The sequence below is a fragment of the Homo sapiens genome, chromosome 2 (genome assembly GCF_000001405.40).
Source record: "Homo sapiens chromosome 2, GRCh38.p14 Primary Assembly".
NCBI lineage: Eukaryota > Metazoa > Chordata > Mammalia > Primates > Hominidae > Homo > Homo sapiens.
The window spans coordinates 151,898,969-151,922,889 of record NC_000002.12 but is presented as its reverse complement, the minus strand read 5'-3'; the positions used below and the strand labels follow the sequence as shown (position 1 = coordinate 151,922,889).

Genomic DNA, 23,921 nt, shown 5'->3' with positions numbered 1-23,921 from the left:
ACGCTCAGTATTGACTACATTTGATCTTTTAGGAATCAACTCAATGTTTTATGAAACTGACTTGCAAAATTCAAAAGGTCTAAAAAATATTAGAATGAAAACAGGATTTGTGAGTTTTACCAGCTGCTGGAGTCCACAAACTGCAACTGTCTTGGTAAATATCTTTTGGAAAGTTCTGATTGTCAGAAAACTTCAGACTATACATGCCAAAGATCTGATACTGGAAATGTCATGAATCATATAAGCCCCTGCCTCACACAGGGCAAATTTCATCTAAACTCCTCATGCTGGGCAGAACAATGGCTGCCCAAAGATGTCCACATACTAATCCCTGGAATCTGTGAATATGTTGGGTTTCATGAGAAATGGGAGTTAAAGTTGCTTATTAACTGGGTATCATAGTTCACGCTTTTAATCCCAGCACTTTGGGAGGTGGAGCCAGCAGGATTGCTTGAGGCCAGGAGTTCAAGACCAGCCTGGGCAACACAGCAAGACTCCATCCCTACAAAAAATTATAAAATTAGCCAGCCAAGGCAGCACACGCCTATAGTCCCAGTTACTTAGGATGCAGAGGTGAGAAGATCCCTTGAGCCCAGGAGGATGAGGCTGCAATGAGCTATGATCATGTCATTGACTCTAACCTAGGCAATAGAGGGAGACCCCCATCTCAAAAATAAAATAAATAAAAAGGTAAATTTACTTATCAGTTGACCTTGAGATGGGGAGATTGTACAGGATTATCCCAGTGAGTCTTATGTAATCACTTGGGTTCTTGTGAGTGGAAGAGGGAGGCAGAAGAGAGAGAACAAGAGAGATGGCATTGTGAGGATGACTCAGTCTGACATTACTTTTTTGAATATTGTATTAGTCCATTCTCACACTGCTATAAAGAACTACCTGAGACTGGGTAGTTTATGAAGAAAAGAGGTTTGACTCACAGTTCTGAAGGCTGTACAGGAAGCATGGCTGGGAGGCCTCAGGAAACTTAGAATCATGGCGGAAGGCGAAGGGGAAGGGGAGGCAGGCACATCTTAACCGTGGTGGAGCAGGAGAGAGAGAGAAAAGGGCGAAGTGCCACACACTTTTAAATAACCAGATCTCGTGAGAACTCACTATCACAAGAACAGCAAGGGAAAAATCAGCCCCATAATCCAATCGCCCTCCACCAGAACCCTCCCCCAACACTGGGAATAACAATTCAACATGAAATTTGGGTAGGGAAACAGAGCCAAACCATATCAAATATGGAGGAAGGGGCCTATGAGCCAAGGGAGGTGGCTGGCTTTAGAAGCTGGAAAAGGCCAGGAAACAGATCCTCCCTTAGAGCCTCCAGAAGGAACACAGTCCTGCTGACACCTTGATTTTAGGCCAGTGAGATACATTTTGGACTTCTGACATCCAGAACTACAAAATATTAAACTTGTGTTGGCTTAAGCCATTAAGTTTGTGGTCATTCTTACAGCAGCAATAGGTAAGTAATAAACTCTTAGATGAAGAAAGGTCAGTGAGGCATGACTAGATTAGTGTGGCTCATCTGCTGTCGTTCATGTTGTTTTAAACCAAGATTCACCATTTGATATTCATTATTTGGCATTTGCAGCTGTCATCATTTTTTAGATGATGAAACTATGCCTTGTTTTCATGGGATAATGTTTGTGAAGCTCTCAAATTCCTAAACCAATCAAGTAAGGTGTTTTTTTTTAACTTATTTATTTATTTATTTATTTATTTATTTATTTATTTATTTATTTTTGAGACGGAGTCTTGCTCTGTTGCTCAGGCTGGAGTGCAGTGGCACGATCTTGGCTCACTGCAGGCTCCACCTCCCGGGTTCACGCCATTCTCCTGCGTCTCCCAAGTAGCTGGGACTACAGGTGCCCACCACCATGCCCAGCTAATTTCTTTTTGTATTTTTAGTAGAGACGGGGTTTCACTGTGTTAGCCAGGATGGTCTTGATCTCCTGACCTCGTGATCCGTCCGCCTTGGCCTCCCAAAGTGCTAGGATTACAGGCGTGAGTCACCGTGCCTGGCCTCAAGTAAGTTTTAAGATGGCAAAAGCTAAGGATTCTAAGGCAGCTCTCAAAATCCTGAAGATACATTATGACCTTGCCACTTAACACTGTCTTACTTGTCAATTATGATCCTGATCACAAAATATGGTTGCATGTTTAGATGGAAATTCTTCTTTGGTAAAGAGGGAACCAAATTACAAAGTACAATAGACTGATACATGCTGAGGTTACTACAAAGACTCTAGACTGGGCCTGGCATAGTGCTCATGCCTGTAACCCCAGCACTTTGGGAGGACAAGGTGGGAGGATTGCTTGAGGCCAGGACTAGCCAGGGAAACATAGCAAGAGCCTGTCTCTACAAATAAATAAATAAATGAGATACAAAAATTAACCAGGTGTGGTGGCACGTGCCTGTAGTCCCAGCTACTCAAGAGGCTGAGGCGGAAGGATCACTTGAGCCCAAGAGGTCGAGGCTGCAGTGAGCCAACATTGTGCCACTGTACCTCCGTTGTGGACAACAGAGCAAGAACCTGTCTCAAAAAAAAAAAAAAAAAAAAAGAAGAAGAAGAAGAAGAAAAGACTCTAGACTGGTAAAGTAAAAAATAAACATAAAATGAAATCATTTTACTATTGTTCTATTCCTATTACAATAGAAATAGAAATTGTTCTATTCCTATTACAATAGAAATAGAAATTGTTCTATTCCTATTACAATAGAAATAGAAATTGTTCTATTTCTATTTACAAAGGAAAAACACATTCTGACACCTAATAATTTCTAAATTGGTGTGACACTTATTAGGTTGCCATAATAGGATTAACAAACATATAGGAGGAGCTAATTGCAAGGCATTTAACTTGGAAATCACAACCATTGCCAAATGGCTTTATAGTTGGCTTTTGTGGTTGTCATGGACAGGAAGAAAAATGAGCTATTTAGGAAGTGAGTCTCGTCTGAACTTTCCAAGATATATTCTAGTTTTTGTGTGAGGAAATAATTCAGGTTTTGTTGTTGTTGTTGTTGTTTGTTTGTTTGTTTTCCAAACTTGCACTTAAGTCATACCTCTTTTAAGGTGGATCCAGTCTTAATGATTTCTTTTGGCATGGCTAGATCCTGGTTATTAAAAGTGTACATGGAGGAATGATGTACAAATTAAGGGGGGCGTCAAGGTAGGAGGGAGGCAAAAAAGGAGAGGTAAACAGGGCTGGGAGTATGGCGAGGCAGTGAGGAGCCTAAGTAGACATTTGAGGAGGCGCTCTCTCTCTGGACTATCACAAGCCATCCCTGTACTTGCAGGACCCTGAGGGGGAGTGCCCCCTTAAGAGTGAGGTAGGAGTGCCCTGTTACATTTTGCATCTTAGACCTCTCTTGCCTCAATCTCACCCTGGAGGTGACAGCATGGCTGGTGATGGCTGTAATGAGGGATATAAGCCTGCCTGTAGCTTGGAAAGCATGTTTTGTCCTCAGAATCCTCATACAGGCTGGGCGCGGTGGCTAACATCTCTAATCCCAACACTTTGGGAGGCCAAGGCAGGAGGATCACTTGAGCCCAGGAGTGTGAGGCTGCAGTGAGCTATGACTGTGCCACAGTACTCCAGCCTGGATGAATGAGTGAGACCTTGTCTCACTCAAAGAAAAGAAAAGTAAAAAGAGAAGACAATCCTCATGCCATCCCTCTTTGGCAAAACCTGGACTGTTAGAGAGAATTCCCAGAAGGCCTAACTTAGTATGGCCCCAGATCAATGTAGAACTGAACATGATCTCTCCTTTGAAACACCCCTCCTGAGGCTACCCTGGTCAAGGTTCAAGGCTCACCCCTAAAGAGAACTTACCCCTGTGGTTGGCTCTAGGCGAAATCACACCTTCCATATATTACGGAACTTCAGAGAACAGGGATTCATTCAGCCCTCCTACATACCTTTTGATTTAGGAAGGCTTTCAGTGAATGATTATCCAAATTTGTACTATACAAATGGAAACATTTAAAATTTTATAAAATCTGTATGAAGTCGGAATGTTGATATGGTGAACATGATATTTGCATCTCTGGATGTGCTGCCTTTGTCAGTTCTGCCTATGTGCGAGGGGTTGCTTGCATGCAGTGCTAATGCTACACAATGCAGATATAGGTTTGATTTGGAGGAGAATTCATAAGCAGCCATGTAGCAGTACGCACACAATCCCTTGAACTCTCAACCTGCATCCTAGGCTAGGCATGGATATCTGTATGCACCATAGCCACAGCTCTGGTAGATAAAGCTCTACTATTTATAGGGTCAGTAGGCAGGGAGCATCTATGTGCTTGTGTAACAGTGGAGGCTCTCTGATCAGGGAAGTGCCCTTATTGGAGAAGGAAAGCCCCTGGAGCCCAGTGGTTGGTATCAGCCTATTTTTTTGTTCATTTGTTTAGCTGAGCCAGCTTTCTGCTAAGCTAGCAAAAGAGGGAAGGAAATGAGTCTCCGGAGCCACCCAGATTTGTCTCTTGCTAACCACAGGTTAACTGTTCTCTTTACCTGATTGTAAGCAATTTGGGAGGAAAGACAAAATTGTATAGATCTTTGCAACTCCCATGGTGTCCTACCTGTAGTTGAATGCTTAGTACGTACTTGTTGACTGAGCAAATGATATAATAGACTTCAATCAATGCTGAATGACTACTGTAATAAAAAATAAATATTAATATATGCTTTGTGGCAACTTGAAAGCATGGGCAATGCCTTCATAATGGCCAACTACATATTTTGGCAGATAACAAACCAGTACATATGGTTGAGGGTGGCTGTTGTATCTTAATGTGGAACTCAGTAGCACCCTTTTCCCCCCCAGCCTTTTTCACTTTTGTTTCAAAACATTTGTTTCTGCCATATTGAGAGGGGGAGTTAAGATAAAAGACCTCCTTTAGTTGTCAGTGCATTGGGGTTTCCAGCCAACTTTCTCTTTAATGCCTTTCTAGTAGTGCATAGCCAAAGCATATGGAAGGAGAAGTTTAGGGGTAAACTACAGTGTTCATTTCAGAAATGTTCTTTTTTTTTTTTTTTTTTGAGACAGTGTCTCACTTTGTCGCCTAGGCTGGAGTGCAGTGGTGCAATCTCAGCTCACTGCACTTCCACCTCCTGGGTTCAAGCAATTCTCCTGCCTCAGCCTCCCAAGTAGTTGGGATTACAGGCACCTGCCACCATGCCTTGCTAATTTTGTATTTTTAGTAGAGATGGGGTTTCACCATGTTGGCCAGGCTGGTCTCGAACTCCTGACCTCAGGTGATCCACCTGCCTCAGCCTCCCAAAGTGCTGAGATTACAGGCATGAGCCACTGCACCTGGCCAGAAATCTTGTGTATATCTGGTATTCATCATCATCCTCACTGTAGCAAATATATTTTTAAACATTTACTGGGTCTGCCCTGTGCGGAGCTCTTTATGTGGATTGCCTTACTTAGTCCACAATCCTGTGTGGCAGTACGCTTTATTAACCCACATGTCTAGACCCGAGCTCACCTTGGGAAGAGTCCTTCCAGGTGTTTGTTTTCTATTCCTTATACTCCAGAACCTGTCTTATATAGGGATTATACTAAGAGCCAAACAGGTTTTGCTTGAGTTTTCCCGGTGCCTTCCAAATTGGCAGTCATCTTTTTATCCATTATGATTTCAGTCTTTCATAGCAGGGATATGATATTCAAGGGGCATATGACCCAAACTCAGTTTATACATATTGTTTAACATTGTATTAATACCCCCACATCCTAGCTGCCTTCTTATTGAAGCATTTGTTTTAAAGGAAAGCTATATTTGTTTGGTTGGTAAATAGTTTCTTGTTAATGAGAAAAACACAAACATGTTTCTAAATATATCCATTTAATTTTGAAAAAGCAAACCGCATATTAAGGAGACCTAGTGGTTTTATACCAGAGTGTCTGAACTTTGGCACCGCTGACATTTCCGACTAGATAATGATTGGTTGGGGAGACCTGTCCTGTGCATTGCAGGGTGTTTCGTACCTTTCCTGGCTTCTGCCCACCAGATGTCAGTACCAACTCCTCCTCCCAATTGTGAGAATGAAAAATGTCTCTGGACATTGTGAAATGTCCCTTGGGGGAATAAAATTGCCTCCAGCTGGGAACCACTGTTCTAAACCCATAGTTTAAAAAGCTTTGCTTTGCACCAGAATAGTAGTCTGATGTTTCCTCTTGTGGCTCTGCAGTCAGGTATTGTACGTAGTTTCAATATTTTGGCTTTCTATGTGGGTGATCAAGTACTTCACAGTCCTTATATCAATATAAATATGCATAATTCCTTCCCTTCAACAATTTGTAATCAAGATAAGATTTAACATTTTTCAGTCGACTATTTTAAAACTGGTGATACTTTATTCCACTATGACATTCTCTTTTTTTTTCATAAATGGAAACCTTTTAAAATAGGCATGAATAATTTTATGCCTCAAGCACTTTCATTCTTCCAAGTGTTTATGTAAATACAGAGTAAACTGGTTCAATTTATATCTTTTTTGATATCTCATGTATTTATTTGTTTTCTCTATAACAAAGAGAGGGGTTTTATCAGGAAATCACACACAAGAGGACCATAAGTCTCTAATTTTATGCATAAAAAAGGAGATAAGAGAATATAATCATTTAAAGAGGCCTGAAAAACCTTAAGAAAGGATCCAGGAATAGGGGTGGGGCCAAGATGGCTGACTAGAAGCAGCGGCTTTTGGAGGCTCCCATGGAAAAAACCCATAATAAGCGTGTGAATCCTTCACTGGCAACCAGGTATCCAGGTTCTCTCATCAAAGTTGACTAGAGGGCTGGCGTGACCCACGGAGAGAAGGAAGAACAGTGTAGTACCGCAGCCCAGCTGAGAGCCACACGGGGCAGGGGAACCCCCTCCCCCCAGCCAAGGGAGGTGGTGAGTGAGCGCACTATCCCCCCAGAGAAAACTGTGCTTTTCCACTCACGAACCCAAGCCACCCACCAGGGCCTAGCGTCCCAACCCCAGAATGTGCACATTCTTTTTTTTTTTTTTTTTTTTTTGAGATGGAGCTTCGCTCTTGTTGCCCAAGCTGGAGTGCTATGGCGCAATCTCAGCTCACTGCAACCTCTGCCTCCCAGGTTCAAGCAATTCTCCTGCCTCAGTTTCCTGAGTAGCTAGGATTACAGGCACCTGCCACCATGCCCAGCTGATTTTTTTTGTATTTTTTAGTAGAGATGTGGTTTCACTATGTTGGCCAGGCTGGTCTCGAGCTCCTGACCTCAGGCAATCCACCCGCCTCGGCCTCCCAAAGTGCTGGGACTATATGCATGAGCCACTGTGCCTGGCCACGAGCACATTCTTACAGCCTCTCAGCTGGAGTCAGCTTAAGCCTACAGAACCCCCGCAGGGGAGGGGCAGCCAGCACCCACTGTGGCTGCCTGCTGTCTCAGCTGTTTGAGCTCCTTGCGGGAGGGACAGCAGCCTGCACTGGGATTCGCACTGCCTAACACGCTGAGCTCCCTGGGCGGGGGAAGGGCGGCACCCATTTCTATACGTCCAGGCTGTACTTTTTCCCTGCTGGAGCCAGGGAGGCTGGACAGCTTGGTCCCAAGACTTGTCCCCACAGCCCAACAGACCGGCTGTGTTAGTTTGTGGCCAGTGTCCCTTCAGGCCTGACCCTGACCCATCCTTACTCATTGGGTGAGGCTTCCCTGCAGGAACTCCAATAACTTCAGCCAGAGGCTTAGGGACAGAATCTGGATGTCCCTGGGCCTGAGCCTCTAGGGGGAGGTGTGGCCGCAGTCTCTGTGGACCAGCAAACTTAGCCTCTCCTCTTGGTAGTTCTGAGGAATCTGGGTAGCCCAGATGAGTGGGTTTCCCCCAGCAAAGCACACCCCCTCCACCAAGGGACAAAGTGCTTTGTTAAATGGGTCCTGCTCCCCGTGCCACTCAACTGGGTGACACCCTCCAACAGGGGTTGTCAGACACCCTATACAGGAGGGATCCTGCTGGCATCAGGTTGGTGCCTCTTGAGGTCAGAGGTCCCAGAAGAAGGACCAGGCATCCATCTTTGCTGTTCTCCAGCCTCCTTGAGTGACATCTCCAGGCACTGGAGTGAATCAGATGAATAGGGCCTGAAGTGAACCCCCGCAAACTGCAGCAGCCCTGCAGAAGAGGGACCTGACTATTGAAAGAAAAACAAACAAGCAGAAAGCCACAACAATGCATCATCAACAACAACAAAAGGCCCCCACAAAAAACCCATCCAAGGGTCAGCAGCCTCAAAGACTGAGACTAGACAAACTCACAAAGATGAGAAAGAATCAATGAAAAATGCTGAAAACCCAAAAGGCAAGAGTGCCTCTTCTCTTCCAAATGATTGCACCATCTCTCTGTCAAGGGCACAGAACTGGACAGAGGGTCAGATGGATGAATTGACAGAAGTAGGCTTCAGAAGATGGGTAATAAAAAACTACACTGAGCTAAAGGAGCATGTTCTAACCCAATGCAAAGAAGCTAAGAACCTTGATAAAAGGTAAGAGGAACTGCTAACTAGGATAACCAGTTTAGAGGAACATAAATTACCTAATGGAGCTGAAAAACACAGCACGAGAACTTGGTGAAGCATACACAAGTATCAATAGCTGAATCGACCAAGCAGAAAAAAGGATATCAGAATTTGAAAACCACCTTACTGAAATAAGACATGCAGACAAGAATAGAGAGAATGAAAAGGAATGAACAAAGCCTCCAAGAAATATGGGAATTCGTAAAAAGACCAAACTTACAATTGATTGGGATACCAGAAGGAGATGGAGAGAATGGAAACAAGCTGGAAAACACACTTCAGGTTATTATCCAGGAGAACTTCCCCAACCTAGCAAGACAGGCCAACGTGCAAATTCAGGAAATACAGAGAACATCATTAAGATACTCCATGAGAAGATCAACCCCAAGACACATAATCATCAGATTCTCCAAGGTTGAAATGAAGGAAAAACTGTTAAGGGCAGCCAGAGAGTAAGGCCAGGTCACCTGCAAAGGGAAGCCCATCAGACTAACATGGATCTCTCAGCAGAAACTCTACAAGCCAGAAGAGACTGGAGGCCAATATTCAATATTCTCTTTTTTTTTTTTTTTTTGAGATGGAGTCTCGCTCTGTCGCCCAGGCTGGAGTGCAGTGGCGTGATCTCGGCTCACTGCAAGCTCCGCCTCCTGGGTTCATGCCATTCGCCTGCCTCAGCCTCCTGAGTAGCTGGGACTACAGATACCCATCACCACCCCTGGCGATTTTTTTGCATTTTTTAGTAGAGATGGGTTTTCACCATGTCAGCCAGGATGGTCTCGATCTCCTGACCTCATGATCCACCCTCCTCTGCCTCCCAAAGTCCTGGGATTACAGGCGTGAGCCACCACACCTGGCCTATTCAATATTCTTAAAAGAATTTTCAACCCAGAATTTCATATCCAGCCAAACTAAGGTTCATAAGTGAAGGAGAAATAAAATCCTTCTCAGACAAGCAAATGCTGAGGGGTTTTGTTACCCCCAGTCCTGCCCTGTAAGAGTTCCTGAGAGAAGCACTAAATATGGAAAGGAAAAACCAGTACCAGGCACTGCAAAAACACACCAAAATATAAAGACCAATGACATTATGAAGAAACTGCATCAACTATTGTGCAAAATAACCAAATAGCATCATGATGACAGGATCAGATTCACACATAGCAATACTAACCTTAAGTGTAAATGGGCTAAATGCCCCAATTAAAAGACACAGTGTGGCAAATTGGATAAAGTCAAGACCCATTGGTGTGCTGTATTCAGGAGATCCATCTTACATGCAAAGACATGTAAAGCTCAAAATAAAAGGATGGAGAAAAATTTACCAATCAAATGGAAAGAAAAAAAAAGCAGGGGTTGCAATTCTAGTCTCTGACAAAACAGACTTTAAACCAACAAAGATCAAAAAAGACAAAGAAGGACATTACATAATGGTAAAGGGAACAATTCAACAAGAAGAGCTAACTATTCTAAATATATATGCACCCAGTACAGGAGCACCCAGATTCATAAAACAAGTTCTTAGAGACCTACAAAGAGGCTTAGACTCCCACACAATAATAGTGGGAGACTTTAACACCCCACTGTCAGTATTATTAGACAGATCAACGAGACAGAAAATTAACAAGGATATTCAGGACTTGAACTCAGCTCTGGATCAAGTGGACCTAGTAGACATCTACAGAACTCTCTACTCCAAATCAACAGAATATATATTCTTCTCAGTGCCACCTGGCATTTATTCTAAAATTGACCACATAATTGGAAGTAAAACACTTCAGCAAATGCAAAAGAACTGAAATCATAAGAAACAGTCTCTCAGACCACAGTGCAATCAAATTAGAACTCAGGATTAAGAAACTCACTCAAAACCACACAATTACATGGAAATTGAGCAACCTGCTCCTGAATGACTCCTGGGTAAATAATGAAATTAAGGCAGAAATCAAGAAGTTCTTTGAAACCAATGAGAACAAAGAGACAACGTACCAGAATCTCTGGGACACAGCTAAAGCAGCGTTAAGACAGAAATGTATAGCACTAAATGCCCACATCAGAAAGCTAGAAAGATCTCACATCAACACCCTAACATCACAATTAAAAGAGCTAGAGAGGCAAGAGCAAGCTAATCCAAAAGCTAGTAGAAGACAAGAAATAACTAAGATCAGAGAAGAGTTGACGGAGATAGAGGCACAAAAACACTCCAAAAAATCACCGAATCCAGGAGCTGTTTTTTTGAAAAAATTAACAAATAGATTGCTAGCTAGACTAATAAAGAAGAAGAAAAGAGAGAAGAATCAAATAGACACAATAAAAAATGATAAAGGGGATATCCCCACTGACCCCAAGAAATACAAATTACCATCAGAGAATACTAAAAACACATCTATGCAAAAATAAACTAGAAAATCTAGAAGAAATGGATGAATTCCTGGACACATACACCCTACCGAGATTAAACCAGGAAGAGGTCAAATCCCTGAATAGACCAATAATAAGCTCTGAAATTGGGTAATTAATAGCCTACCAAAAAAAGCCCAGGACCAGACGGATTCACAGCTGAATTCTACTAGAAATACAAGGAGGAGCTGGTACCATTTCTTCTGAAACTATTCCAAACAACTGAAAAAGAGGGACTCTTCCCTAACTCATTTTATGAAGCCAGCATTATCCTGATACCAAAACCAGGAAGAGGTATAACAAAAAAAAGAAGACTTCAGGCCAATATCCCTGATGAACATCAGTGTGAAAATCCTCAATAAAATACTGGCAAACTGAATCCAGCAGCACATCAAAAAACTTATCCACCATGATCAAGACGGCTTCATTCCTGGGATGCAAGGCTGGTTCAACATACGCAAGTCATTGATAGAACACATCTCAAAATAATAAGAGCTATTTATAACAAACCCGCAGCCAATATCACACTGAATGAACAAAAGCTGGAAGTATTCCCTTTGAAAACTGGTACAAGACAAGGATGCCCCCTCCTACCACTCTTATCCAACATAGTATTTGAAGTTCTGGCCAGGGCAATCAGGCAAGAGAAAGAAAGAAAGGGTATTCAAATAGGAAGAGGGGAAGTCAAGTTGTGTCTGTTCACAGATGGCATGATTTAATATGTAGGAAACCCCATCACCTCAGTCCCAAAACTCCTTAAACTGATAAGCAACTTCAGCAAAGTCTTGGGACACAAAATCAATGTGCAAAAATCACAAGCATTCCTTTACACCAACAGCAGGCAAGCAGAGCCAAATCATGAATGAACTCCCATTCACAATCACTGCAAAGAGAATAAAATACCTACCTAGGAATACAGCTGACAAGGGATGTGAAGAACCTTTTCAAGGAGAACTACAAACTACTGCTTAAGGAAATAAGACAGAACACAAACAAATGGAAAAACATTCCATCCTCATGGATAGGAAGAATCAATATTGTGAAAATGGCCATACTGTCCAAAGTAATTTATAGATTCAATGCTAGTCCCATCAAACTACCATTGACATTCATCACAGAATTAGAAAAAAACTATTTTAAATTTCATATGGAATCAAAGAAGACCCCATATAGCCAAGACAATCTTAAGCAAAAAGAACAAAGCTGGAGGCATCATGCTACCTGACTTCAAACTATACTACAAGGCTACAATAACCAAAACAGCATGGTACTGGTACCAAAACAGACGTATAGACTAATGGGGCAAGAACCTCAGAAATAACACCACACATCTACAACCATCTGATCTTCAACAAACCTGACAAAAACAAGCAATGGGGAAAGGATCTCCTATTCAGTAAGTGGTGCTGGGAAAACTAGCTAGCCATATGCAGAAAACTGACACTGGACCCCTTCCTTATGCCTTACACAAAAATTAACTCAAGATGGATTAAAGACATAAATGTAAAACCCAAAACCATAAAAACCCTAGAAGAAAACCTAGGCAGTTCCATTCAGGACATAGGCATAGGTAATTAAAGAGCTTCTGCACAACAAAAGAAACTATCATGAGAGTGAACAGGCAACCTACAGAATGGGAGAAAATTGTTGCAATCTACCCATGTGACAAAGGTCTAATGTCCAGAATTTACAAGGAACTTAAACATATTTACAAGAAAAACCCCACGAAAAAGTGGGCAAAGGATAGGAACAGACACTTCTCAAAAGGACATTTATGCGGCCAACAAACATATGAAAAAAAACACAACATCACTGATCATCAGAGAGATGCAAATCAAAACCACAGTGAGATACCATCTCATGCCAGTCAGAATGGCAATTATTAAAAAGTTAGGAAACAACAGATGCTGGCGAGGCTGTGGAGAAATAGGAACGCTTTTACACTGTTGGTGGGAATGTAAATTAGTTCAACCATTGTGGAAGACAGTATGGCGATTCCTCAAGGATCTAGAACCAGAAATACCATTTGATATACCCCCCAAAATAAATCATTCTACTATAAAGACACATGCACATGTATGTTTATTGCAGCACGATTTACAATAGCAAAGACATGGAACCAACCCAAATGCCCATCAATCATAGACTGGATAAAAGAAAATGTGGTACGTATCCACCATGGGATACTATGCAGCCATAAAAAGGAATGAGATCATATCCTTGAAGCTAGAAGCCATCATCCTCAGCAAACTAACACAAGAACGAAAACCAAACACCACGTTTGCACTCACAAGTGGGAGTTGAACATTGAGAACACATGGACACAGAAGGGGGAACGGGAACAACACACACAGGGCCTGCTGGGGGTTGGGGAGTGAGGGGAGGGATCTTAGAGGGTGGGTCAGTAGGTGCAGCAAACCACCATGGCACACATATACCTGTGTAACGAACCTGCATAATCTGCACTTGTATCCCATTTTTTGTTTTTTTTTTTTGTTTTTTTCCTCCCTGAGATGGAGTCTCGCTGTGTCGCCCAGGCTGGAGTGCAGTGGCATGATCTCGGCTCACTGCAACTTCCACCTCCCGGGTTCAAGCAATTCTCCCTGCCTCAGCCTCCCGAGTAACTGGGATTACAGGTGCCCGCCACCATGCCCCGCTGATTTTTTTTTGTATTTTTAATAGAGACAGGGTTTCACCACGTTGGCCAGGCTGGTCTTGAACTCCTGACCTCAGGTGATCCGCCTACCCTTGGCCTCCCAAAGTGCTGGGAATACAGGCGTGAGCCACTGTGCCCACCAGCCCCCTCTTTTTTAAAGAAGAAATTATATATATATAAATATATATATTTATAAATATATTTATATATAGATAGGATTCAGGGATAGTCAATGGTAAAAACTTACCTAAAGTTTTTTTTTCTTTCTAAATTTATCCAATTAATATTTTTCAAGCATAACACCTGTTCCCTTTCTTTAAAAAAAAATTAAATCCTTTGTCACCTTTGCACCTCAAAGAAAATGCGGAAATATCTAAAATACCAGCTTACTTCCATTTAAATATGCCCCAAATGAAGGGAATTTGAGAAAACACTTAGGGCATGGGATTTGATAACCTGCTTCAGAAACCTAGTCCTGTGCCTGATAACCTTTACTGTCTTAGTCAGAAAATGTATTCCTATGTCTGACTTAAATCTCTCAAGCTGCAGCAAGGCATGTTTTCTTTCACTCTGCCCTCACTGCGAAATGGCTGTCTGCCAGCCCTTGAGTTTGAGCCTTTCAAATTCTTAAAGTATGTTATCTAAAGTCTTCCCTTGGCTTTTTATCTACAGATGAGTTGGTCCAGATTTTTTGCCATGACTTTCATAACTCTTTCATCATCTGCAGCTTCCCCCATGCTTCCTTCAGGATCTTCTTCACTTTTCTTTGAGTTGCAGATTCCTAAAACCAAGCAGGGTTGACAATGCCAGGAAGGTACCTTAGCTAACAGCCTACACTCACAGCACCTGTTCAGGTACCCTGATTGGCCTTAAGTGACTGTTCTAACTGGAATAAAATCCTCTCTTTATCATCAAGCAAAATGGTCAGCTTTTCTTTGCCTTCAGAATAGTCTCTGCATGGTGTCTGCTTTCAAACTTTCCAAAGTGCTTAGTTTACCACCTCTCCCTAAATATACCACTGTCTATCTTATAAAGCCCGGGAACACAGAAATTAGCAGCAAATGATCTCCTTATTTTCTGTTTTTAATGCCTGTGCACCTTAACAGGTTCTTTGGCTGCAATCAGACTCCCTCCTGGCGTCTTTGTTCCTTTTCCCTGGGCCCTGCCTCTCTGACTGGGCTTTGACAGCAGCAGAGACTCTTACCATCCTCACGGTCTCCTCCTGCAGCTCTTTTTTTCTAATCCGTGGCAGCAAGCTAGGCTTCAGGACAAAAGCCTCTTGGAGAATATTTGAGAACTTTCAATCCTCCTGTGACCCTTTTGAAACACCAACTCAGGATGCTTTTTATTCCTGGTTGTTATCTTTGCAATGATCTCTACTCTACCTCAGTTTCTTTTCTTTAGAAACTGTGTGCTGACCTGATTGAAATATTCTCAGCCCACATGAGGGAACAGCTATGACAGCCAGTGAAGAGGACTTTCCTTGCTGTGCTCTTCCTGGCTGAGACCAGGAAAGGAGGGCCGGCCTATCCATCACATGTCAGAGAAAGAAAACAGGAAGAATGGCCAAGATGTTTAATCACTTTTTGAAGCTGTTTTTCTTATTCAAAATCAAGTCAATATTTGATTTTAAAAAACACACACTAAATACAATATGGTATTCTGAATTGCAATGCTCCTGGAACAGAAAAAGGACATTAGTAGAAAACCAGTGAAATCTGATAAAGACTGGCGTTTTATTAATAATAACGTGCCAGTGTTACTTTCTTATTTATGACAAATGCACCTTGGTTATGTAAGGTGTTAACATTAGGGGAAACTGGGTGAAGGGTATATGGGAACTCTGTACTATCTTTGCAACTTTTCTGTAAATCTAAAATTATTCCAAAATAAGATTATTTTAAAAGATAGCCTATATTTTTTCTTTCCAGTAATTTGGGTTATTCACCTCTATTTCTTTACTGGTTAGTATATTAAGGACCTGATTCAGGAAAAAATATGAACATAAACTAAAGCTTTTGTATGCAGAAAAGAATGGTTAAGTCTATAGCTAGCTGATCTAGGTCCCTAAATGAAAATACCTGAACATATATTAGGGTCCTTGCTTGTTCTGTTTTCCCTACCTCTGTTCTCTGATTACCTGTAAGTTATTTACTCATTTCCATGTTTTCTCATTCAGTAAACATTTATAAAACTAGGTACTGAGTTTAACTCAAGGAAAAAAAAAAGAGATGGATAAAATGTGGTTTTCACCTCAGAGTACACAAGCTAGTGGGGAATAAACATATAGAGATAACTGCTGAATAATGTAAGTGCAATGATAACAAATGTACACAGTAATTTTAATGGGAACTAAGCAAGCCTGAAAAAGGTTATCAGAAAAAACATCCTAAAGGTGACATGCCTCCGCCTTCAGGATGAGTAGGAGTTAGGATGAATGTACCAAAGAGACACGTCAGGGTAGCAATCTACATGATGTGTTCAGGGAGCTAGGGAGTGACAAGCTTTTCAGCATAGCATGAGGGAAGACTGATAGGATGTGGAGGGAGATGAAGCTGGACAAAAGACAAGAGCCTGACTTAGGGCCATCAGAATTAGAAAGGCCTTCTGTTGCTGGACAAGACTGTAGTTTCACCCTTTAAATCATAAGCAGATGAAAGTAGGACAGCAAAAGATAAAGACCAGAGAGTTTCATCTCACCTTTATTCTCCATCAGTTACAGTGGCTCAGGCATTTTCTGAAAATATGGCTAACCCCAAAGGAGCTATTCTTGCCATGAAGGAAGTTAGTGGCTTCATAGATAGAGTAACTGCTCTTAGGCTCTTACCCTCTTCCCTAGCAGTGGGGAACAGTGGTTTATTTTTAAAGTTTATATAGGTACTAATGCTCAATGATTGCTACTTACAAATAATGCATAAGACAGTGATTTTCACCCCCTGCAAAAGAAATGTTTTGCTTTTACTCATAGGGCAACCAGTGGCTTCAACTGCTTTCTATTTTTGAAAACTCATGTGATGAAACATGAGAAGTTCTTATTTAAAGGGGTTGGTGAGATGCTTCTTTTAAATGCTGTCACACTGTTGATCATGCTTGAATTGGAGCTAAGAATAAAAATTCAACTGAGTAATTTCTGTTGATGTAGCGTCCCTCAACTTTTTGGAGAAAAATGTCAAGTTTTACATTCTGGTTTCATTGCAGTTCCTGGAGGCTACTGAGTAGGAAGAGGATAGCGTGATGTGTGTGCATGCATGTGCTCATGTATAGAAAGACAGGATGAGGTAGCTGCTTATACAGAGCTAGAAGGAACTCTAGCTAACTTAGAGTTTTGACTAAACACTCTTTTTACTTAAAGGTAATCTGGCTGTATCAGGGTTTACTCCCATTGAGTTGAATATGAACTTGATAGACGAAGTGGAGAATTCTTTCAGTTTTGTGAAAAGTTTAATTATGAAATTGTTTTAGACAGTAAATGACACATTCCCATTTCTTGTCAGTGAATATTTATTGAAATCTAGCCCTTCTTGCCTTGCCTTTCTGGTTGATCTCTTTAGCTGTCAAGCTCGCTGGTCATCTTTCCCTTGCTGGGCCTTACATGTCATGTTTTCTTGAGTTGTGAAGAATAACCATTTGTTAGCTAAAGACCTTTCTCTGATCTAAAGCAACTGATACTTGAAAGAGTAAATAAACGGAACCTGATCCCTACTTTATATTGCCAGGTACAAAATACATTTGTGGCTATTCTATCATATTATTTTTGTAGGTCTCTGAATTAAAGAGAGCAAAGCTTCTTTCTACTCAAGACTTGCAAACACTTGGTTTTGACAATCAAATTATCTCGTTCTTAAGTTTATGAATCGTTGTCTTCTGCTGCAGAGAGAATTGGATTTTTAGTTCGAAAGATGAGTGCACATCGGGAAGATGTGTTTTAGGGGGAAGCAATATGTATTTTGCATTATCTGTACGATGTGAGAAACTGTAAATTGATAATACAATATGTTAGTAAATGAAATGGCAATGAGTAGCAAGCAATGGGCTGGAGAGAACTCCAGGTTGGGGGTAGAAAATGATTATTATAGGCATCCTAGGCATAGTGGCTGAACTTTCTGTTTTCTCCTTCTTTGGGAAATGGGTTTAATATTTTAGGTTCATCTGCAGGCCTGGGCTACATTTAAGAGTACAGTATCCTGGCACGCACTTGAACCATGCTGAGAGGCTGACAGCCAAAATGAGCTGGACCTTGTTCTCACTTTGTTATTTGATTGCAGGCGATGAGGGGAAATGATAGCATTCTAGTTCTTCTTTTTGAAAAACTATGCATTACATTTCAGAATGTTTCACTGCCCAATAGTGCATAGTTTTCAAGTGTAGTTCCTCTCTTACCACACAGCTAAGTAATCCTGGAAGCCAAATAAATGGACTGTATTTATTTCAAATTCAGTTCTTAAAAGATGTCTCAGCTGGGCGCGGTAACTCCTGCCTGTAATCCCAGCACTTTGGGAGGCCAAGGCAGGCAGATCACCTGAGGTCAGGAGTTTGAGACCAGCCTGGCCAACATGGTGAAACCCCGTCTCTACTAAAAATACATAAATTAGCTGGGTGTGGTGGTATGTGCCTGTAGTCCCAGCTACTTGAGAGGCTGAGGCAGGAGAATTGCTTGAACCCAGGAGGTAGAGGTTGCAGTGAGCTGAGGTCGCACCACTGCACTCTAGCCTGGGCAACAGTGAGACTCCGTCTCAAAAAAAAAAAAAAAAGAGTTATCTCTAATTGTTACTGTCTTTATGTTGAGTATGTTAGGGTTCACTAATTTATGGTGTATATCTGGATTTTTTTCCCACCTGGTTAGTGGAATAAAATAGGAAGTTGAATAACATGGCATTTATTATGATAGTAACCAACAGGGCAACTGGAGTTAGCATACTTGTAGCTTTTGTAAATTACTCAATTGTCACTCAATAACAGGACAGTTATTTACTTGATTGTGATTGGCCGAGGAATAATAATGGCTCCATTTCAGCAGATAAATAGTGAGGATTTGAATCTTTAGTAAAATTAATGACAGCTGGAGGAATTCCCAGCTGCACATGTAACTAGAAGTGCTTAACTACCCAATTAATCATGAATGGATGGATTCAGTGAAACACAAAATTCAATCTGCTTTTGCAGCGGTGGTTTTGAAAAATTGGAGGCAAGCGTTTTTTTCTCTATTGAACGCAACTCTGAGTGTCTAGGAAAATGCCATACATTTTTTAGGATGAATGCAAAGAAATATGAGTCCCATCCTTCTTTTTTTGCCCTTCTTCCCTCCCTTCTTTCCTATACATACTTATTATACACCTACTATATGCCAAGCCCACAATGGGGACACAAAGATGAAAAAGATACACTACCTGCCCTTGAGGAGTTATTGTCAGAAAGGTAAAATAGCCACACGTACAGTTGTAACACAACGGATGGATGAAATGGAGTTTGCCAGATGGGCAAGGAGAAAAGGGGCTTTTTAAATAAGAGTCAGTCTCCTGTGCAAGAGCAGGGAGCTTTCAGAGTATGTACCTACCTTATACAACAAGTATTTTACCTGGGTGCCTACTATGTGCCACACAGTGTGGATGAGATATGTTTGGAAAAGTGTGAGAAGCATGTTATTGGCCAGAGCATGTGGGAGGAGAAAGATAAAAGATGGGCCTGGAGATTGACAGGGACAATTTCAAATGTCACTTTAATAGTGTCATTCCCGGTTTTATTCTTCTTTTCAAAGTAAATGAATTTTTTTTTTAAGACAATCTCTCTCTGCTGCTCAGGCTGGAGTGCTGTGGCGCAGTCTTGGCTCACTGCAGCCTCCACCTCTTGGGTTCAAGTGATTCTCCTGCTTTAGCCTCCTGTGTAGCTGGGATTACAGGCGTGCACCACCACATCCGGCTAATTTTTTTTTTGGATTTTTAGTAGAGATGCGGTTTTGCTGTGTTGGCCAAGCTGGTCTGGAACTCCAGCCCTCCAGTTATCCACCCGCCTCAGCCCCCCAAAGTGCTGGGATTACAGGTGTGAGCCACCATGCCCGGCCTCAAAGTAAATGAATATTTTCTTATTTTTGTTCTAGCTTAATGTTGATGAAATAAAAGGTAGTCAGAACAAAGATTTTGAGTAGATTTAGTATTAATACATATTTATACCTAATCTTAGTAAATATACAAACATACCAAATGAATCACAAACTCAGCATTCAAGAGCAGAGCTAGGCTGACACATAGCACAGTAAAGTACTTAATTTCTTATCTGGAAACTTCCAAATTGCTAGGAGAAATTGGCGAGCAATCCTTCGAGAGAGATTGAAAACTTCCTGTCTGAAAACAGAAACTATTAGCAATTATTTTAACCCGATAGTAGCAACCCAGGGTTCAAAAGAATTCTGTATAGACATCTGTATAATGGAGGAAATTTTCATTCATTGCACACAATAGGGTACAATTTGATGAAAACTAGGTGGATTTTTTTTTTTTAATTTCTATCCTCAACTCATTCCACAAGTTTTTCAGGCAGCTTAGAAGACTATATGAAGCCACAAAAAAGTTAGTAACCAGCAAAATATCAAGATCAGAGAAAATATAAATTAAGACAGAAAATCTTATACCAAGAAGAAAGCTAGAACTGAGCTCTGATCTTCCTGGTGGCTGATGTAAAAACCAAAATATAATTAATCATAGGCTCCTCATTGTTCATAGAGAATATGTCAAGACAGATATGATTTAATTTTTATTATCCATAATGAAAAATTCTAATAATCGTGAAGAGCCCTTTTTCATTTAGTTGTTTAGGTATAAGTAGACTCAGCCTTCCATGTTTTGAGGAACATTTTCGCTAGGGGACTTTGCCAGTGGGTTAATAAAGTGCTTCCAGTGTCTTTCATGTACAAGGCATTTTGCTATAGAGTTCTCATGCAGGCATTCCATCAAAAGATGGGTGAAGTCTGAGTGCACTGGCTCATTCCTGTAATCCCCATACTTTGGGATGCTGAATGGGGAGGATCACTTGAGTCCAGGAGTTTGAGACCAGCCTCAGCCACATAGGGAGACCCTGTCTCTACAAAAAATAATAAGTTAGTCATACATGGTGGCGTGCGCCTGTGATCCCAGCTTGAAAAGTTTAGGTGAGAGGATCACTTGAGCCAGGGAGGTCAAAGCTGCAATGAACTATGATCGTGCCACTGCTCTCCAGCCTGGGTGACAGAGCAAGATCTTGTCAAAAAAAAAAAAAAAAAAAAAAGGTGATGTTGTGTTACCCACTAGGGAGAACGTTGCCAACTTCAGCTGCATCTACTTATTCTCACAAGGACTGTCCTTCTTTGACAATAACTCAAAAAGACTTATTTTTCTGGCAGTTTGTTCTGCAAGGTGATAGATTCCATTGTATTCCAATTTTGTAATGAAGTAATAGAATTTGCAGTAAAACCAAGTTCTCTGGAATTCTTTGGTAAAACAATGATTGCTTAAAATGGGAAAGGCTTGTTTTTCAAATTCTCATTCTCAATATAAGCCTCAACCTCTACCCAGGGAGGCATTGTGCTTGCCCATCATTGTCAATTTTTATGTTCTTTGGTTATAAATAACTTCTGGAACAAGCACCAGACCACATTTCAATAGCAATTTTCAAAACGGAATGCACATTTTTAAAAACTCCTTCGTGATCTTTTCTAGTAAGGAGGTTTTTTTTGTTTGTTTGTTTTGTTTTTTTTCTAATTGTAATTTTGTAGTATTGTAGATGGTATTGTATTGTCTTGGACCTGCATAGCTAAAATTGGTGAAGAACCTTTCCACAAAATATTAAGGTTACTAATGATTTCCTGGACTTTTCAGTAAATAACTCAATATATTTAAAAACCTCCCCACCTCTACTACATTTTATTTTTCAGCTCTGATATTAGTTTCTCCTTGTCTCAGCTGAACATCAGAAGATAGACAAACTGCTGATGGTTTGTTGATAAATTTAACACGGTTACCAAAAAAATCATGAAAAGGCCAGGCACGGTGGCTCATACCTGTAATTCTAACACTGCAAGGCTGAGGTGGGTGGATCGCTTGAGCTCAGGAGTTCAGGACCAGCCTGGGCAACATGGCAAAACCCTGTCTCTACAAAAATTAGCCAGGTGTGGTGGCACACACCTGTAGTTCCATCTACTTGGGAGGCTGAAGTGAGAGGATTGCTTGAGCCCAGGAGGTCAAGGCTGCAATGAGTGGTGATTGCACCACTGCATTTCAGCCTAGACGACAGAATGAGACCGTATCTCAAAAAAAAAAAAAAAAAAAAGAAAGAAAGAAAGAAAAGAAAAGAAAATCCTGAAAAATACCAAAGTCTTCAAGTTGAAAATGGTTAAATTAAAAGATGTTTTTTCCCCTTTAGTCAATGTCTAATGCTGTGCTTAGTGTCTGTTAAGCAGTAGGTAAATTGTGTATATCCCCTATATCCTGTTGATCATTTTTAGACCTTTTTGGAATAGGTTTCTGGTTTACTTCTTGCTCTCTTTTCCCACTGTTACTATCCTATCAGTCTCCCAGTCAGTCTCTCTGACTGCAGTTTTTCACACTTTCAGGCAGATCTTCCCAGTGCATCCTTTTCGATCTGAAACTCTCATTCACTTACTTTAGTGCAGCATCAGCCATCTACTCACAACCATATGGCTGCAAACACTTCCTCCCGGCTTTCCTGATTTGCTGTGATCTGCATTTATTCTACTCTACAATTTTATTTCCAGCTACTCCTCAACATGAACCTCTGAACTTCTCATTCCCCGACTCATAAGGCAAGGCACCACTTTCATGCCTTTGTTCATGCTGCCCCCACCTTTTCTTGAAATGCCTTCGCAACGTTTTCTCTGCCCCCAGCAGATCATGATGATGCTTATGGCACAGTTCCAGCGCTGACTTCTCCATGCACCTTTCTTGGCCTCATCACCTCAGACTGACCTCTGCCTTTTTGCAACTCCAAAGTCAGTAACCTTCGTTTCTTTTTTTAAATGACATAGTTCAGCACTGAACTGCCTTGTTTCATGAACACAGATCTTATTTCTCCAACTTGTTTGAAAGCTCTTTAAAGGCAAGAAGCATGCCTTTTACTTCTTTAGCATCCACTGCAACTCCTACCCCCATACTGACTACAGAGTTGTCCAAATTCATCACTCTACAAACATTGCCTTTATTTTCCTGCCCTTTAGCTTTGCTGTCTGCCATTCCTGATAATTCTGCTTAAGCCTCCCTCACCTTCTCCCTGAGGTTTTCTGTTCCCCCAAAACAGAATTAATCTGTCCTCTTCTAGTCACTGATTGGATTTGTATTTTTGTTATGGTACTTTTATGGTACTTTTTGTACTCTCCTTCATAATGTGGTTATTTACATAGCTGTCAGCCCTATTAGGTTATAAGCCCTTATTAGGCAAGGACCGTGTCTTATTTATCTTTTTGCCTGCCATTGTACTAAGGTACAGGCCTCATACATACTAATTTTTCAACAAGCATTTGTCAATTTGAATTGCATATTAGATAGTAGACAATCAGACATGACCTAGTGTTGTTAGGGCACCGAGTATGGTTGGTATATGGAAGTCCACTTACCCGCCCTGTCCTCTTGGGGTACCTAGTACCTAGCGACAGTTCACCTGGTTCACATACGACCACCTGAAGGGGTTCTTTCATTTAGAACTTAATAAAGACAATAAAATGCTCGGTAAAAATGACTAAAGCTATACTGTGAAGTTAAAACTAAACAATTAAGCATAGTTTCTCTACTATGTGTACAGAAAGCTGCAAAGATTCTGCAAGAATGTTGAGTACCAACTTGTAGTCCCTTGTCTTTGGGAGTTGGTAGCATATTTGCCCTGGGGAAGTTATATAAGGGAAGTATCTCTGAGGCCCCTTTATTCCAGGGACCTTCCTTCTGCAGTACTGGATAGTTCACAGATCCAGTACTGTTTTATTTCTCAGGCCACTCTGCTGGAATGTTTCTTCCTCATCTAAGACCATTTATTCAAGAGCAGAGAGTTCTTGGTCTTTGTGTCTGCATTTTCCCCTAAACTCTCTGTTAAAGTACTGAGTGTGAATTTCTTGAACTCGTCTCTCTTGTTCCCACTAGCCAGTGCATAGGTGCATGCAACACCAGCTAGAAGAAGGGCCTCCTCTCTCCTCCAGTTCAACCTGCTGAATGCTACCTGTCATCCTCAGGACTGTCCTCTTCTGCACTGTGGGTCTCTCTGATCTTTGCTGTGCAGCACTGAAGGAGTTTGATCAATATTGGTGGGAGAAGAAGAGCTTTCAGGATGATTCTGGGAGGAAAAAATT

General features: G+C 41.3%; 1 protein-coding gene across 22 annotated transcripts in view, besides 2 other annotated features; it reads left to right on the top strand.

Annotated features, from left to right (window-relative positions):
* Window positions 1-23,921, top strand: part of CACNB4 (calcium voltage-gated channel auxiliary subunit beta 4) — a 266,397-nt gene that overhangs the window by 176,278 nt on the left and 66,198 nt on the right. The gene's annotated exons all lie outside the window — the stretch shown is intronic.
* Window positions 7,542-8,043: an enhancer, noted in NCBI's record as "H3K4me1 hESC enhancer chr2:152771361-152771862 (GRCh37/hg19 assembly coordinates)". NCBI's record gives its function as "activates a minimal SCP1, AML or CMV promoter by ChIP-STARR-seq in naive H9 embryonic stem cells {active_cell/tissue: H9 hESC(naive)}" and the evidence as "EXISTENCE:reporter gene assay evidence [ECO:0000049][PMID:30033119]".
* Window positions 8,987-9,190: a silencer, noted in NCBI's record as "fragment chr2:152770214-152770417 (GRCh37/hg19 assembly coordinates)". NCBI's record gives its function as "represses an EF-1alpha promoter that drives an FKBP-Casp9 reporter gene in an ReSE screen in K562 erythroleukemia cells {active_cell/tissue: K562}" and the evidence as "EXISTENCE:reporter gene assay evidence [ECO:0000049][PMID:32094911]".